At 42.4% G+C, this 16,571-nt stretch overlaps 1 protein-coding gene and 1 long non-coding RNA gene across 4 annotated transcripts in view, besides 1 other annotated feature; one reads left to right on the plus strand and one right to left on the minus strand.

Moving 5' to 3' along the window:
• Window positions 1-16,571, minus strand: part of ANO2 (anoctamin 2) — a 383,578-nt gene that overhangs the window by 323,679 nt on the left and 43,328 nt on the right. The window lies entirely within an intron of this gene.
• LOC105369621 (uncharacterized) overlaps window positions 1-16,571 on the plus strand; it is a 30,421-nt gene that overhangs the window by 4,444 nt on the left and 9,406 nt on the right. Inside the window, exon 2 of the long non-coding RNA XR_931583.3 lies at window positions 1,521-1,585. This is a non-coding gene — a long non-coding RNA (uncharacterized LOC105369621). The remainder of the gene's footprint in view (window positions 1-1,520; window positions 1,586-16,571) is intronic.
• Window positions 2,037-2,237: a silencer, noted in NCBI's record as "peak1543 fragment used in MPRA reporter construct". NCBI's record gives its function as "represses an SCP1 promoter by STARR-seq MPRAs in K562 erythroleukemia cells {active_cell/tissue: K562}" and the evidence as "EXISTENCE:reporter gene assay evidence [ECO:0000049][PMID:32103011]".

The following is a 16,571-nucleotide window of genomic DNA, read 5'->3' on the forward strand; positions in this document are numbered from 1 at the left end:
TGAGCCTGGAGGACATTATGCTATGTGAAATAAGTAGTCAGACTCATAGAAGCAGAAAATATAATAGTGTTTGCCTGGGGCTGAGGGGAAATGGAGAGTTGTTGAATGGGCATAAAGTTTAGGTTATGTTAGATGAGTAAGTTCTAGAGTTCTGCTGTACAACATAGTGGCTACAGTCAACAAAATAGTATCATGCACTTCAAAATGTAAGAGGCTAGATCTCATGTTAAATGTTCTTACCACAAATACAAAATGAAATTTAAAGAATTAAAAAATAGAGGGACACAAAGAAACTTTGGTAGATGTTGGATATGTCTATTACCTTGATTATGGTGATGGTATCAAGGGTGTTTGCATGTGTTCAAACTCAACAAATTGTACATATTAATGTATTTCTTTGCATATTAATTACACCTTAATATAGCTTTTTTTTAAGGAAATTCTGATATATGCTACAACATGGATACACTTTGAAGACATTATGTTAAGTGAAATAAAAGGACGTGAAAGGACAAACATTGCATGATTCCACTTATATGAGGTCCTCAGTCAAATTCACAGAGACAGAAAGTATAATGGTGGTTTCCAAGGCTGGGTTGAGGGTGGCCGGAGCATTAGTGTGTGACGGGTACAGAGTTTCAGTTGAGGAAGACAAAAAAGCTGTGGAGATGGATGGTAGTGGTGGTTGCGCTACAATGTGAATGTACTTAATGCCACAAAACTATACATTTTGAAACGGCTAAAATGGTAAATTTATGTAATGTACATTTAACCACAATAAAAGGAAACATTTACAGTAAATATTATGTCTCTTGAAAGTGATCATAATTAAAACTTAGGCTAGGATTTTTTTTAAAGCAGAGAGGAATAAGAAATTCATAAAATCCACACATAAAGAGGAGATACATTCACTGGCCCCAAACCCCAATGAAATGTAATGATGGGTTCACTGAAATATAGGAAAGTGAAAGTTAAATCTTTTGATATTAAATTATTTAAGTAAGTAACCTTACCTAATACAGCAGCACCCTCAGTAAAAATGTGTGATTAGAGATCACTCAAGAAGGGCCCCTGAGCCCAGCCCTGGGGATAAACCACTTCCACTGTGGGGGATGTTGCTCCTCAGGGTTGCCCATGTTTCCCTGCTCCTCAGCAGAGCCTGCCAACAGCGTCCAAGCAAATGAGGACTGGCTAGCCCTGGGAGGCTCAACTAGCCTTATCACTGGGTCACAACTTGTTTTCTCACTTCCATCATTTTCTCAGTCATCCAACTAATGTTTTCAGACATCAGTTGTTTCTGAGCACTGTATACGGCTTTCGAAATAAAGAAGGAAGGAGAGAGAGAAGGATGGAGACCCTTGGGAAGGAAGCAGAGAAGCTAACTCTTTTTTTGAGCACTTGCAATGCGCCAAGCACAGCTCTGAGCTTTTTACAAGCGTTATCCTCTGTGCCCCTCACATAAGCTCTATGGGGTAGATACTAACATGCCCCCCGGTTTTTTTTTTCTTTTTTTTTTTTAGTGGAAACATGAAGTTTTATGAGAGAGAGAAGAAACCTTTGGTGGTGCACAGGGATTTGAATTCAGGTTTGTCTGCTCACAAAGCATGAGTGCTTAACCACTAAGTTACATTGTTCCGGGACAGACATACAGAGGTTGATTCTGTGTCCGCAATTGGTGGGTTCTTGGTCTCACTGACTTCAAGAATGAAGCCGCGGACCCTCGCAGTGAGTGTTACAGTTCTTAAAGGCGGGGTGTCCGGAGTCTGTTCCTTCTGACGTTCGGATGTGTTCGGAGTTTCTTCCTCCTGGTGGGTTTGTGGTCTCGCTGGATCAGGAGTGAAGCTGCAGACCTTCGCGGTGAGTGTTACAGCTCTTAAGGCGGCGCGTCTGGAGTTGTTCTTTCCTCCCGGTGGGTTCGTGGTCTCACTGGCTTCAGGAGTGAAGCTGCAGACCTTCGCGGTGAGCGTTACAGCTCATAAAAACAGTGTGGACCCAAAGAGTGAGCAGCAGCAAGATTTATTGCAAAAAGCGAAAGAACAAACCTTCCACAGTGTGGAAGGGGACGCCAGCGGATTGCCACCGCTGGCTCCAGCAGCCTGCTTTTATTCTCTTATCTGGCCCCACCCACATCCTGCTGATTGGTCCATTTTACAGAGAGCCAATTGGTCTATTTTACAGAGAGCTGAATGGTCCATTTTGACAGGGTGCTGACTGGTGTGTTTACAATCCCTGAGCTAGACAGAGAAGTTCTCCACCTCCCCACTAGATTAGCTAGACACAGAGTGTGGACACAAAAGTTCTCCACGTCCCCACTAGATTAGCTAGATACAGAGTGCCGACTGGTGCATTCACAAACCCTGAGCTAGACACAGGGTGCTGATTGGTGTGTTTACAAACCTTGAGCTAGATACAGAGTGCCAATTGGTGTATTTACAATCCCTTAGCTGGACATAAAGGTTCTCCAAGTCCCCACCAGACTCAGGAACCCAGCTGGCTCCACCCAGTGGATCCCACACTGGGGCCGCAGGTGGAGCTGCCTGCCAGTCCCACGCCGTGCGCCCACACTCCTCAGCCCTTGGGTGGTCGAAGGGACTGGGTGCCTTGGAGCAGGGAGCTGTGCTCGTTGGGGAGGCTGGGGCCACGCAGGAGCCCACAGCTGGGGAGGCTCAGGCATGGCAGGCTGCAGGTCCCAAACCCCGCCCCGTGGGGAGGCAGCTAAGGCCCCACGAGAAGTCGAGCACAGCAGCTGCTGGCCCAGGTGCTAAGCCTCTCACTGCCCACGGCCGGCGGGCCGGCTGGTTGCTCCAAGTGCGGGGCCTGCCAAGCCCACGCCCACCCAGAACTCGCGCTGGCCCCCAAGCGCCACGCGCAGCCCTGGTTCCCGACCATGCCTCTCCCTCTACACCTCCCTGCAAGCTGAGGGAGCCGACTCCGGCCTCGGCCAGCCCAGGTAGGGGCTCCCACAGTGCAGCAGCAGGCTGAAGGGCTCTTCAAGTGCCACCAAAGTGGGAGCCGAGAGCGAGCGAGGGCTGCAAGGACTGCCAGCACGCTGTCACCTCTCAATTCCACATGGCCCCTGCCCTCAGAGAGTTTACATGCTGCTGAGGGACAGTTGGACAAAAAGCAATTACATTACATTACAAAAAGACACTTGGTAAAACATGGGTCAGCATAATAAGTGTCCAGGAGCGCAGGTGAGGAAATCAGGACAACTCCACAAAGGTGGGACTCTTAAACGACCCCTGTCTTACACGTGTCCCATCTCCTTCCCCAGACTGCCAGTCTCTTGGAGCCAGGACTGGGTTTCCTCTTTACACAGCCCCTGTGCTGGTAACAGCTGTGATATGCTGGCCACCAGACAGGCCATTAACCCAGGAATGCCAAAGTAGGGCTCTCAGGTAGAGGGGAAATGAAAGCTTTTAGGTCAGTGCCTGACTGAGAAGTCAACTCTTTCTTAAAGGAGGTATTAACTTCCTACTGATCATAGAGCTTCGCTCAATGAAGCACCCCGTCCAAGACCCTTTACCACCTCCTGGTGGCCTGGAGGACTCATGTGAGTTGCACAAATAAGGCAGGCCCTTAAGGCTAAAAGTCCAGAAAGGAAAGACAATCAGAGGCAATGTGTCTGTAGACAAGCAAAAGCAGGTTCACAGATGGGAAATAGGACTCACCAGGTCCCCTCCAGTCTGTGGCCCTGGGGCTTAAAATTCCATTTTTTTTTTTTTTCTGTCCAGACCTGCATCTTGGGAAAACCAGCACTGCCCAGAAGTGATTAATTCCCACGAGTATTGAGCCCTTGGCTGCATGGAAAATTCTTCCAGGGGCCTGGGGAAGATGACAAGGCCTCCCATGGCCAGAGTCCATTTCTCTACTATGGCAGCTGCTTGGAGGTGCTTGCAGCCTCATTGCCAACCCACTGGCACATTCAGGTCAATGCAGAATGTGCCTCCAACTTATCACACTGGAGCACATTAGACAATGGAACAGACCCCTGTCTTAAGCCCTTTGGGACCCTGTCAGAAGAGGTCCTTCTACTCACAGCTCAGAGCAGAGGTTCACATGTCAGAATATGTCAAGAGACTGCTTTGTCTTTATAAATACCTTAATCTGAAGTTAAATATTCTTAGGCAACTCTGTCTTCTAGGATTTTCCTAAAGGCACACATTAAATTGTGAGATAGAAAGAATTCAGCCTAATAATTTCTTGCCAAGCCCTGTGTTAGGAACTTAGAGATTGAAAAAGATGCAGTCCCCATCCTCAAGGTAGAGATGAACATGCAGTTTACAGCGCAAGTCAGTGAGGCCCATCATAAAGGCATGCATAGGAAACAGGGGCATCCCTGAGGAGGCAGCAGGGGAAGAATTCACAAAGGTACAATATCTGAGTTGGTACACAATCAGTTCATGTTTACTGATGGATAAATATCTTGCATGGCCTTCTGCAAAAACCTGGGCTGACATCTTTTCCTCCAGTGACTGCCTTCCTCCCCAGCACAGTGGAATATCTGCCATTCACTTACAGGATTGGTCACCTGCTGTCTTCTTTCCCTTGCAGTGACACAGAAAACATTGTTTGCCTTTCCCATATTTTACAAGTCACAGCTCATATAGAACTTGAATCTCCCAAACTCACTTCATTGAGTTTGCCTTTTTACTTGCATTCAGACCTCATCACATTCCACTCTCTCCACCTTTGGGGTATGTCCATTTACAATCCTGATAGACTGTGTAGAGATCACACATTTCTCTTCAGACACGTTCTCCTTCTATGCCACCTCAAAATTACTTTCTTTTTGAGTCAGCTTAGACTCAAGCAGTCCAAAACCCAGAAGGGGTCATTAGCATGGACAGAGAGAGCCGAGGAGAAGCCCTCTATTTCTGGCTTTAGAAAAAGAAAGTCATCTCTTAACACTCAGAAAGAGTGGAAGGAAGCCCCCATTGTTTTCTTTTCTCCATTCTTTCACATGCTAGACCACAGGCCCCTAGAAGGAGAGTGAGAGGAACATTCCTCTTTGCTCCCAAGAGGTTGGAGCAAACCCCTGTTGCTTTTTTCTCTGTGTGCGTCCTTTCACCACTTGGCCCCAGACACAGGTGCAGTTTTGGGAAGTATGTGGCAGAGGAGGGTAAGTAGATTCCAAGATTTCTGGCTGAAGGATGGCAAAGAGGGTCTCAGGGGACAGGAAGGTTCTGCAAAGATCACGGAGAGGCAAGAGCTCAGCAAAATGCCCCCATAAGCTGTTCATGAACCCTTTGGCTTACCCTAAAGCTGCATGTGCATGGATCTGATCCTAAATAGCACACTATATACCCTAAGACAGTAAAGACTGAGCTACATAATACATCACTAACCAGGTCTCAACCTGGCCACTTGATAGCATCCATAGGATAGACTCAAATAGCATAAGGCTGTGAAAATGAAACTGATTTTGAAACTACCTACAGAATTCTGGTCAGAACTTGCAACTTCAACCCAACCAGATCAATTGCCTGATAAAACACAAATAGGATTTAATAAAACCCAGATTTCCATAACATAATATTGAAAGTGTCCAGGATACAATTTAAAATTACTGAACATACAAAGAACAAGGAAATCTTTTGTGAGAAATGACAATAGACAAATGCCGATGACAAAGATATTGGACTTATCTGACCAATGCTTTAAAGTAGTCATTACAAAAAAGGCCCAAGAAAGAGCAAACACTCTTGAAATGAATAGAAAGAGACATTTTCAGAAAAAAAAAATAGAAGACATAAAAATGAACCAAATGGGAATTTTATAATTAAAAAATAAAATAACTGAATTAAAAAACTCACTGAATGAACTCAATAACAGAATTGAAGTGACAGAGGAGTCAGTATACTTGAAGAAATCAATAGAAATTAACCAACCTGAACAACAGAGACAAAAAAACATGTTGAAAACAATGAACAAAATATTGGAGACCTATAAGGCAAACCAAAAACATCTAACATTAATGCCACTGAAGCTCCAGAAGGTCAGAAGAATGAGTACAGCATAGAAAAAAATTTGAAAATATAATAGCTACAGACTTTCCAAATTTGGTGAGAGGTATAAACCAGAAACAGATTTATGAAGTTCAGCAAACCCCAAATAAGATAAACTCAAAGAAATTCACACCTAGACACATCATAATCAAAGTATTGAAAACGACAAAGGAAAAAGTTTTGAAAGCAGCCAGAGATAAACAATGCATTACTTACAGGAAAATAGTGATTTGAATGACCACAGATTTCTCATGAGGAGCCATGAAGGTCAGAAGGTAGTGGAGCAACATTTTGAAAATGCTTAAAGAAAAGAATTGTCAATCAAGAATTCTATAACCTGTGAAAATACCATTCAGGAATGAAAGTAAAGACTCCTCTGTGAGGAAAACTAAGGTAATTTATTGCCAACAGACTTGGTTCAAAGAATTGCTAAAGGAAATTCTTCAGAAAAAAGGAAAATGTACCAAAAGGAAACTTAGAACATCAGGAATAAAGAACCAGAAAAATGTTAACTGTCTGTGCAAATAGACTATTCTCACTTCTTAAATTCTTTGAAATGTTTGACAACTGAAAACAAAAATTATAACACTTTCTCATAGAGTTTTCAATTTGTGTAACTATAATACATAAGACAAATACAAAGGAGGAAAGGCAAAGGAACTTCTAAGATGGTAAGGCTTCTTTACTGCATTTGAAGTGGTAAAATATTTATTCTAAGTAGACTGAAAGAAAACAAGTATATCCAAAAATCAACTCAAGATGGATCAAAGACTGAAATCTAAGAAACCATAACATTTCTAGAATATAATATCAGAAAACTCTTCTGGACATTGGCTTAGGCAAAGAATTCATACTAAGACCCCAAAAGCAAATGCAACAATAACAAAAATAAATAAATGGGACCTAATTAAGTTTAAAAGCTTCCTCACAGCAAAACAAATCATCAGCAGAGTAAATAGACAACATATAGAGTGGGAGAAAATATTCACAAATGATGCATCCAACAAAGGACTAGTATCCAGAATCTAGAAGGAACTCAAACAAATCAAAAAGAAAGAAAACACATAATTCCATCAAAAAGTGGGCAAAGAATCTGAAGAGACATTTCTTTTCTTTATTTTGTATGTAGTTTTTTTTCCCTTTTTTTCTTTTTTTTTTTTTAATTATACTTTAAGTTCTGGGATACATGTGCAGAACGTGGAGGTTTGTTACATAGGTATACACAAGCCATGGTGGTTTGCTGTACCCATCAACTCATCATCTACATTAGGTATTTCGCCTAATGCTATCCCTCCCCTAGCCCCCCACCCCACAACAGGCCCCAGTGTGTGATGTTCCCCTCCCTGTGCCCATGTATTCTCATTGTTCAACTCCCACTTGTGAGTGAGAACACGTGGTGTTTGGTTTTCTGTTCCTGTGTTAGTTTGCTGAGAATGATGGTTTCAAACTTCATCTGTGTCTGTGCAAAGGACATGAACTCATCCTTTTTTATGGCTGCATAGTATTCCACGGTGTATATGTGCCACATTTTCTTTATCCAGTCTACCTTTATGGGCATTTGGGTTGGTTCCAAGTCTTTGCTATTGTCAATAGTGCTGCAATAAACATACATGTGCATGTGTCTTTATAGTAGAACAATTTATAATCCTCTGAGTATATACCCAGTAATAGGATTGCTGGGTCAAATGATATTTCTGGCTCTAGATCCTTGAGGAATCACACACTGTCTTCCATAATGATTGAAGTAATTTACACTCCCACCAACAGTGTAAAAGTGTTCCTATTCCTCCACTTCCTCTCCAGCATCTGTTGTTTCCTGACTTTTTAATAATCACCATTCTAACTGGTGTGAGATGGTATCTCATTGTGGTTTTCATTTGCATTTCTCTAATGACCAGTGGTGATGAGTTTTTTTTCATCTGTTTGTTGGCCACATAAATGTCTTCTTTTGAGAAGTGTCTGTTCATATCCTTCACCCACTTTTTGATGGGGTTGTTTGTTTTTTTCTTGCAAATTTGTTTAAGTTCTTGGTAGATTCTGGATATTAGCCCTTTGTCAGATGGATAGGTTTCAAAACTTTTCTCCCATTCTGTAGGTTGCCTGTTCACTCTGATGATAGTTTATTTTGCTGTGCAGAAGCTCTTTAGTTTAATTAGATCCCCTTTGTCAATTCTGGCTTTTGTGGCCAAAAGCTTTTGGTGTTTTAGTCATGAAGTCTTTGCCCATGCCTATGTCCTGAATGGTATTGCCTAGGTTTTCTTCTAGGGTTTTTATAGTTTTAGATCTTACGTTTAAGTCTTTAGTCCATCTTGAGTTAATTTTTGTATAAGGTGTAAGGAAGGGATCCAGTTTCAGTTTTCTGCATATGGCTAGCCAGTTTTCCCAACACCATTTATTAAATAGGGAATCCTTTCCCCATTGCTTGTTTTTGTCAGGTTTGTCAAAGACCAGATGGTTGTAGATGGGTGGCGTTATTTCTGAGGGCTCTGTTCTGTTCCATTGGTCTATATATCTGTTTTGGTACCAATACCATGCTGTTTTGGTTCCTGTAGGCTTGTAGTATAGTTTGAAGTCAGGTAGTGTGATGCCTCTAGCTTTGTTCTTTTTGTCTAGGATTGTCTTGGATATATGGGCTCTCTTTTGGTTCCATATGAAATTTAAAGTAGTTTTTTCTAATTCTGTGAGGAAGGTCAATGGTAGCTTAATGGGGATAGCACTGAATCTATAAATTACTTTGGGCAGTATGGCCATTTTCATGATATTGATTCTACCTATCCATGAGCATGGAATGTTTTTCCATTTGTTTGTGTCCTCTCTTATTTCCTTCAGCAGTGGTTTGTAGTTGTCCATGAAGAGGTCCTTCACATCCCTTGTAAGTTGTATTCCTTAGGTATTTTATTTTCTGAAGCAATTGTGAATGGGAGTTCACTCATGATTTGGCTCTCTGTTTGTCTATTATTGGTGTATAGAAATGCTTGTGATTTTTGCACATTGATTTTATATTCTGAGATTTTGCTGAAGTTGCATATCAGCTTAAGGAGATTTGGGGCTGAAACGATGGGGTTTTCTAAATATACAATCATGTCATTTGCAAACAGAGACATACTCCATCACATAAACAGAACCAGTGAAGAAATGAAGAGACATTTCTTAAGAGAAGATAAACAAATAGCCAACAAACATATGAAAAAATGTTCAACATCACTAATCATCAGGGAAATGCAAATTAAAACCACAATGAGATACCACCTCACTCCTGCAAGAATGGCCATAATTAAAAAGTCATAAAACAATAGATGTCAGCATGGATGTGGTGAAAAGGAACACTTTTACACTGCTGGTGGGATGTAAATTAGTACAATCACTATGAAAAACAGTATGGAGATTCCTTAAAGAACTAAAAGTAGAACTACCATTTGATCCAGCAATCCCACTTCTGGGTAGCTACCCAAAGGAAAAAAAAAAAGTCATTATATGAAAAACACACACGCATGCATATGTTTACAGCAGCACAATTCACAACTGCAAAGATGGAGCCAACCTAAGTGCCCATCAACCAATGAGCGAATAAAGAAAATGTGGCATATATACCATGGGATACTACTCAGCCATAAAAAGGAATGAAATAATTTATTTTGCAGCAAATTGGATGGAGCTGGAGGCCATTATTCTAAGTGAAGTAACTCAGGAATGGAAAACCAAATATTCTATCCTCTCACTTATAAGTGGGAGCTAAGCTATGAGGACACAAAGACATAGGAATCATATAATGGACTTTGGGGACTGGAAGGGGGGTGAGGTATAAAAGACTACATATTGGGTACAGTGTACACTGCTCAGTGACAGGTCCACTAAAATCTCAGAAATAACCACTAAAGAACTTATCCATGTAGCCAAAAACCACCTGTACCACCAAAACTATTGAAATAAAAATATTAATCAAAACAAAAACAAAAAAAGTATATCTGTTGTAATCCCTAGATCAACAACTAATAAAATCACACATAAAGATGTATTCATAAACAAGTTCTCCAGATAATTCTGATAATGCTCAAATTGAGAACCAGTAGACTACACAAAAGAACTTTAAATCTTATTAAAATCCTGATTAGTATTCACTTATAACATTGAAACTCCAGCTTTAATACATACAGTGCCTTCAATTTTCCCCTCCTTTTAAGCCCCACCTTCTAGATGGTCAGAATGAAGATGAAAACAGTACCATTGAAGATAATGGGTGCTTCATAGGAACCTAAATGGGATGGTAACTAACACTGTGTAGAGATATTATCTGTCTCTAAAGATAGGAAATAAATTTACAGAAATAATTTTGATAATTCTCTAAATTTCCTCATGAAGGAGAGAAATAATTCTCCCTATTAATGATTTTTGGCAACTGAATCTCAAAGAAATTAAATATTTTATTTGAAGCCCCAACTGGTTGGGATCTGAGTGCACAGAGAATAGGTAGAAAGGTTTTTTTAAAAAGGATTTAAAACTGGATTAAAAGGGTAATTCGGGAAGAGTTTTGGAAGAAAAAAATTCCAGTTGAGATAATCCATAGTTTAAACTTTTGAAGACAATTCTAATTGGAAATATAAATTTTGGAGTTCTCTTACGATAAAGATGGCAACAGAAATGTTGAACATAAAATAAATCATCTTAAGACTGACTGTAAAGTCACTCCTTAAGATTTTTAGGGTCTTAAATCTCCCTTTTTTGAAGAGAACCTAGGGATGAGCTTTGAAAAGTTTCAATATTTAATCATCAGATAGATGCAGAGACATGAGAGGTGTAAAAAAAGAAAAAAATAAATAAAAAAGAATTCATTACAGCAGAAAGACCCAGCCAAGAAGACTTAGAGGAAGCAGCCAGAGAAGCAGGAAGGAAGTCAGAAAAGTATGGATAGCATCAGGGAAAATGGTGTTTCCAACAGGAAGGAATGTCCTACTGTGCTGAATATTGCTCAAGGGTTAAGGAAGCTAAGAACTAAAAAAAGAAAAAAAAACTGCTCAGGTTAGCACCTACTAGAAACCCTGGCCACCCATACAAGAGCATCTGGGGCACAGCAGTGGGAAGCAGAGGCAGATTGGAGTAGGCTGAGTGACAGGTAAAGAAATGGGCATAGTAAGTAGAAATAACTTCCAAAAAAAGTCTGTGAGAGATGCAGTGATTAAGATAATGAGATATTGGCACAAGGATAGTCAAACAGACTAAGAGAATAAAATAAAGTCCAGAAGCAGATCCCATACAAAGACAAAGTCTTGATTCCTGGCTTCAATAATCCAGCAGAGCAATGAGGAAGAATGGTCCGTTCAATAAATGACGTTGGGTTAATGGGATATCAAAGTGGGGAAAAATTAATTTTGACTCACACCTCATGCCACATACAGACCAAAAAAAAAAAAAATCAATTCTATGTGGACTGTGGACTTAAATGTGAAAAGTTAACAAATAAATGTTATGGAAGATAACAAAGAATATATTCTTAGCTTGGATAGGTGATAATTTCTTAAACAGAATACAAAAAGCACTGACATAAAGGAAAAGATCAATAAAATGACGTAAAATAAAATTGAGAACATTTATCCACCAAAAGAGTGAAAAGAAAAACCACTGAGTGAGAAGAAGATATTTGCAAAATATATACTCAACAAAAGATGTACCAAGTATAGATGAAGAATCCCTTCATGTCAATATGAAAAAGGGAGACAACCCATTTTTTTAATGGCTATAAGACTCAAACAGGCACTTTAAAAAAGAGGATATCCAAATGGCTGGAAAAAAAATATATGAAAAGGTTTTTATCTCATTAGCAGTCACCAGATATTGCAAATTAAAACCACCCTGACATACCACTACACATGTATCAGAATGGCTAAAATTAAGATGACTGACAATATTAAGTGTTGGTAGGATGTAGGGAAACTGGAACTCTCCTACACTACTAATGGGGAATATAAATTGATGCAAACACTTTGGAAACTTTCCAATAGTGTCTACTAAAGCTGGTCATCACCTGCCATATGACCCAGCAATTCCACTCCTAGGTGTGTACCCTTTAGAAATGCATTTACCAAAAGACCTGTAAAAGAATAGTCATAGCAATACTATTCATAATATCCTAAAACAGAAAACAACCCTAACGTCCATCAACAGTACAACAGACAAGGAAAATGTGGTACATTCAAACGATGAAATACTATCCAGTAACGCATAAACCACTACTACACACAACCATATAGATTAATCGCACACACTTAATGTTGGGCAAAAACAAAAGCCAGACACAAAATACATATTATACGATTCCATTTATACAAAGTTGAAAAACAGGCAAAACTCATCTGTGATGCTAGAAGTCAGAATAGTCACGACCTTTGGGTGGTGGGGGTAGGGTCACGACTGGAAGGAGGCCCAAGGGGGACTTCCAGAAAGCTGGAAATGTTCTATTTCTTCATCTGGATGGCAGTTCCTCTAGTTTGTCCACTCAGTGATAATTCACCAAGTTGTACAATAAAAATTTGTGTACTATTCTGATATATGCTATACTTCCAAAAGAGGCTTTTTTAAAAGCCTAGCTATAAAGGAGAGGAGAATGAGAAGGCCATAGCTAGAGGGGTTAATGGGGTTTAGAAAGAGGAGTTTCTCAAGGAAAAAAGTTGAGCCTGTAAAACCAAGCTGCAGCCCAAGAAGCAGCTCATCTCTCATTAAGATGGAAGAGACTCCCCCTGCTGTTCACCTGAGCCAGGACTCCGGAGTCCGCCAACACCTTGGCCATGCATAGTAAGTGCACAGTAAACTCATTGATTGAGACAGTCGCCTCTGGGTGATGCTTCCAGCTTAGAGGACTGGCAAACATCTCTTTCATTGTCATTCCTAATCACACCTCAGAGGACTAGAGACTTCATCTTATTAAGAATTCTAGCAACTCAGCCAAATAGCCAAAGTGCATGATTCCCATCTTCAGAGAGGAAACAGACACACTTAGTGGGTTAGCAGCTGTCCCCTAAAATCACACGGTCCCTCAGAGACTTTGGATTCTGAGATGCTCACTCAGGCAACTCCGCAGAGCCAGGGGAATAAGAAAGCAGTCCTGTGTCATGCAAAGTCACAGATCTCAACTGGAGCCCCAGCTTCACCTCCGCAAGCCTCTGTTTCTGTAAAATGGGAATAATAATCTAACAACAATTGCTACTTCACAACAATTTTGTTAATATATACATTTGGCATGGACTCAGGTGACCAACAAATGTTTGTTCCCTTTCTCCTCTCCTTTCCCTAGGGAAACTGAAGATTCTTAGAAGACAGAAACAGCTCCATTTTGCAAAGAGCTCTGCAAACCAGGGATGCAAAGGTCCCTCGGATTCCAGATAACTGTTCTTAGAACCATGTCATCTGCTGGTCTAGCACAGAGTCTGCCAGTCTCTAGGACAGCTCATCCCTTTTCCTTTGCACAGTGGTTGTTCAGTTTATGCACATGGGTTTCTGCGTTTCTACATGGTTTGGGTGTGTGCGCTTTTCCCAGATCAGGGAGGAGGGATGGTGGGAGGGGGAACACACAGCAGCACAAGTGTCTGTGTTTGTGTTTCAAGCTGCAGCTGTTTATTTCCCCAGATGAATTTAAAAATCATTCCAAATTCATCAGCATCTTCTGAGGAGCCCTCCTAACTAGCAACATGTTCAATACTCCAAAGCTGCAGTGGATAGGAAGCAAGAGAATTGGGAAGGGGGACAGGATGCATGAGTTCCGTTTTTCAGCAGTTCCCCTGTCACCCAAGTTCTGATGGTCTCTCATAAGCAGTATCCAACTCAACCCACATCACAGCCCTGGATTTCAATGTAATCACGGACAACCAAGAGCCCTGAGAGGATGGAGAGGCACCACTATGCCCAGCTTCATCTTCTAGCTCTGGCTCAAGGTAAAGAGTGAGGAAAAATGCAGGCAGGCTGAGACTTACTCCCTGGAACACATGGTTGTTTGGATCAGGCATCCGTTTCTGAGCCCCTCCTAGTCACGAGAGATTTCACTTTCCATGCCCAGTGTTTAGCACCCATCTAGAGGGCAGAGGACAATTTAAAAATGCATTTGTGAATTTGAGTATGTTACTGAACTTCCATGGACCTCCATCTGTAAAATGAGACGCTAATTAAAGACTCTCAAAGGTCCCTTCCAACTCTTTCTGAGTCATCGAGGGCTTACCATAAAATAAAATGGAAAACAACAACAACAACAACAAAAAACTAAAGTGAACTCTCCCTTTAAAAAAAAAACATGGGGGAGCATTTGCTCTACCTCCGCATTTAACGTGTGGTCCCTGCCATCCTGGCACAGCCTGACCACAATCCCCTTCCCCATGGGTGGGGCCGGGACAGGAAATGGCCAAGCACACAGCATCTTCCCAACCTCCCCTCTGGTGCTCAGTCACTTCATCTGCTGAGTATTTAATTAGAACTGGTGATGGCTGTTTGGAAAGAGTCAAGGCCAAGAGGGCAGGAAGGCGTCTCCTTGTTCTCGGCTCAGGAGACTCAGAGAAAGCCCAACAGCTGGGACAGGTCTCAGTCTAGGTCATTCCCCTGCCGGCAGCACTTTGATGGCTTTTTGTATTCATCAATTCAGACGTTCTCCTGGGGAGGGCCTTGACTTCAGATGAGGTGGGGCCACTCTCAGCAGGGTCACTGATTCTCCTCGTCCCATTCCCGACACGCTTTGCTTTCTGAAGCCTGGAAATACACGTTTCCATACCGAGCAAGGCTGCAGCGGTGGCTGCAAGAGGGACCTGGAGATGTTAGCAAACCCAGGCAGGAAGTAACAATGAGCAGATTCAACCTGGAAAAATGCGGCCTTTGCATCTGGGGATAAATAATCAGAAACACAAATACTCAGGTGGGAGGGAGATGCTTGGAACAGGAAGCAGCCAGACAGCATTTGGACAGGAGCTTGCAATGTGATCTGGTGACAAAGAAATTGCTGGGGGATTCATGAGCTGGATGCATGGAGGTGATACCCCAACAAGAACAAGGAAGGAACAAGGGGGAGGACAAGCAGCTGTTCTTTGCCTCCCTGGAGGCCACCACTATGTGGACCAAGGGTTTGAGATGGCAGCAAGAAAGGTTCGGGTCAGACTCTAGAAACATAGGGAGATATTACGTAAGAGCATGGGCAAGCCCCCTGGGAAGAAGTCTGAAGGACCCTGACATGCACAGCCTGTCCAGAGCTGGGGGCATGGATGAGGTGACCTTCAAGCATCTGATGCACACGACTGCATGATTCTGCAGAATACGGTGAGTGGACCTGCTCGGTAGGTGTTGCAGGAGACGAGAGATGGAGGAACTCAAACCAGCCAAAAATGGAATGGAAATTCAAGAGCTGGGAAAAACCACATGACCTGTTCTGAGTTGGAGACAAAGCTGGGAAAGGAACTCCTATTTGCAGATACACAGAATCCCTCCTCCTCAGGCCCACAAGGAAGATATTTTCCAATCCTGTTGCTCCATTGCCTAGGACATAAGAGCATCAAAATGAGGCTCCAGAGACAATTCCCCATGTACATTAGACTCCGAGGGGCCAATCACACAGATGCTATTTGACTTATTCCTTTGCCAACATACAGTTGCTCTGGAGGGATTTCGGTTAGATCTTAGGAAGAACTTCCTCCTGAGATTTGAGATACTGCATGAGCGAGCAAAAGAGGCAGTTTATATTCTCTCTTCCTACAGTCAGTTTATAGGCTAGATTACACTCAGAGATGTATAGAGAGGAAATATCCCCTTCCACTACAGCATAGTGAGAAAGCTACAGTGCACCTCACTTCGAACAAACTTGATATCTGAAAGTCCAGGATTAAAAAGCAGACCAATTAGGTTGCTTATTCACTTTTTTAAAAAACTCACGATAACAAGCTATATTAATACACTTAAATTTGGATGTGAGATTTAAGAATGGCATTCAAAATAGCTAGGCTGGACAAGATGGTTCATGCCTTTAATCCCAGCACTTTGGGTGGCTGAGGCAGGAGGATGGCTTGGAGCCAGGAGTTTGCAATCAGCCTTGGCAATATAGTGAGACCCCCATCTCTACAAAAGAAAAATTTAAAAATTAGCTAGGCATGGTGACATGTGCCTATAGTTCCAGCTACCCAGGAGGCCAAGGCGGAGGAAGACTTGAGCCCAGGAGTTAGAGGTTTCAGTGAGCCATGATCGCACCACTGCACTCCAGCCTGGCCAACAGAACAAGACTCAATCACAAAAGAAGGGAAGGGAAGGGAATGGGAGGGGAGGGGAGGGGAGGGGAGGGGAGGGAAGAGGAAGGGAAGGGAGGGGAGGGGAGGAGGGGGGAGGGGAGGGGAGGAGGGGGGAGGGGAGGGGAGGAGGGGGAGGGGAGGGGAGGGGAGGGGAGGGGAGGGGAAGGGAGGGGAGGGGAGGGGAAGGGAGGGGAGGAGAGGGGAGGGGATGGGATGGGATGGGAAGGGAGGGGAGGGGATGGGATGGGAGGGGAGGGGAGGGGAGGGGAGGGGAGGAGAGGGGAGGGGAGGGGAGAGGAGGGGAGGGGAGGGGAGGGGA

The sequence above is a fragment of the Homo sapiens genome, chromosome 12 (genome assembly GCF_000001405.40).
Source record: "Homo sapiens chromosome 12, GRCh38.p14 Primary Assembly".
In the NCBI taxonomy this organism is placed as follows: Eukaryota; Metazoa; Chordata; class Mammalia; order Primates; family Hominidae; genus Homo; species Homo sapiens.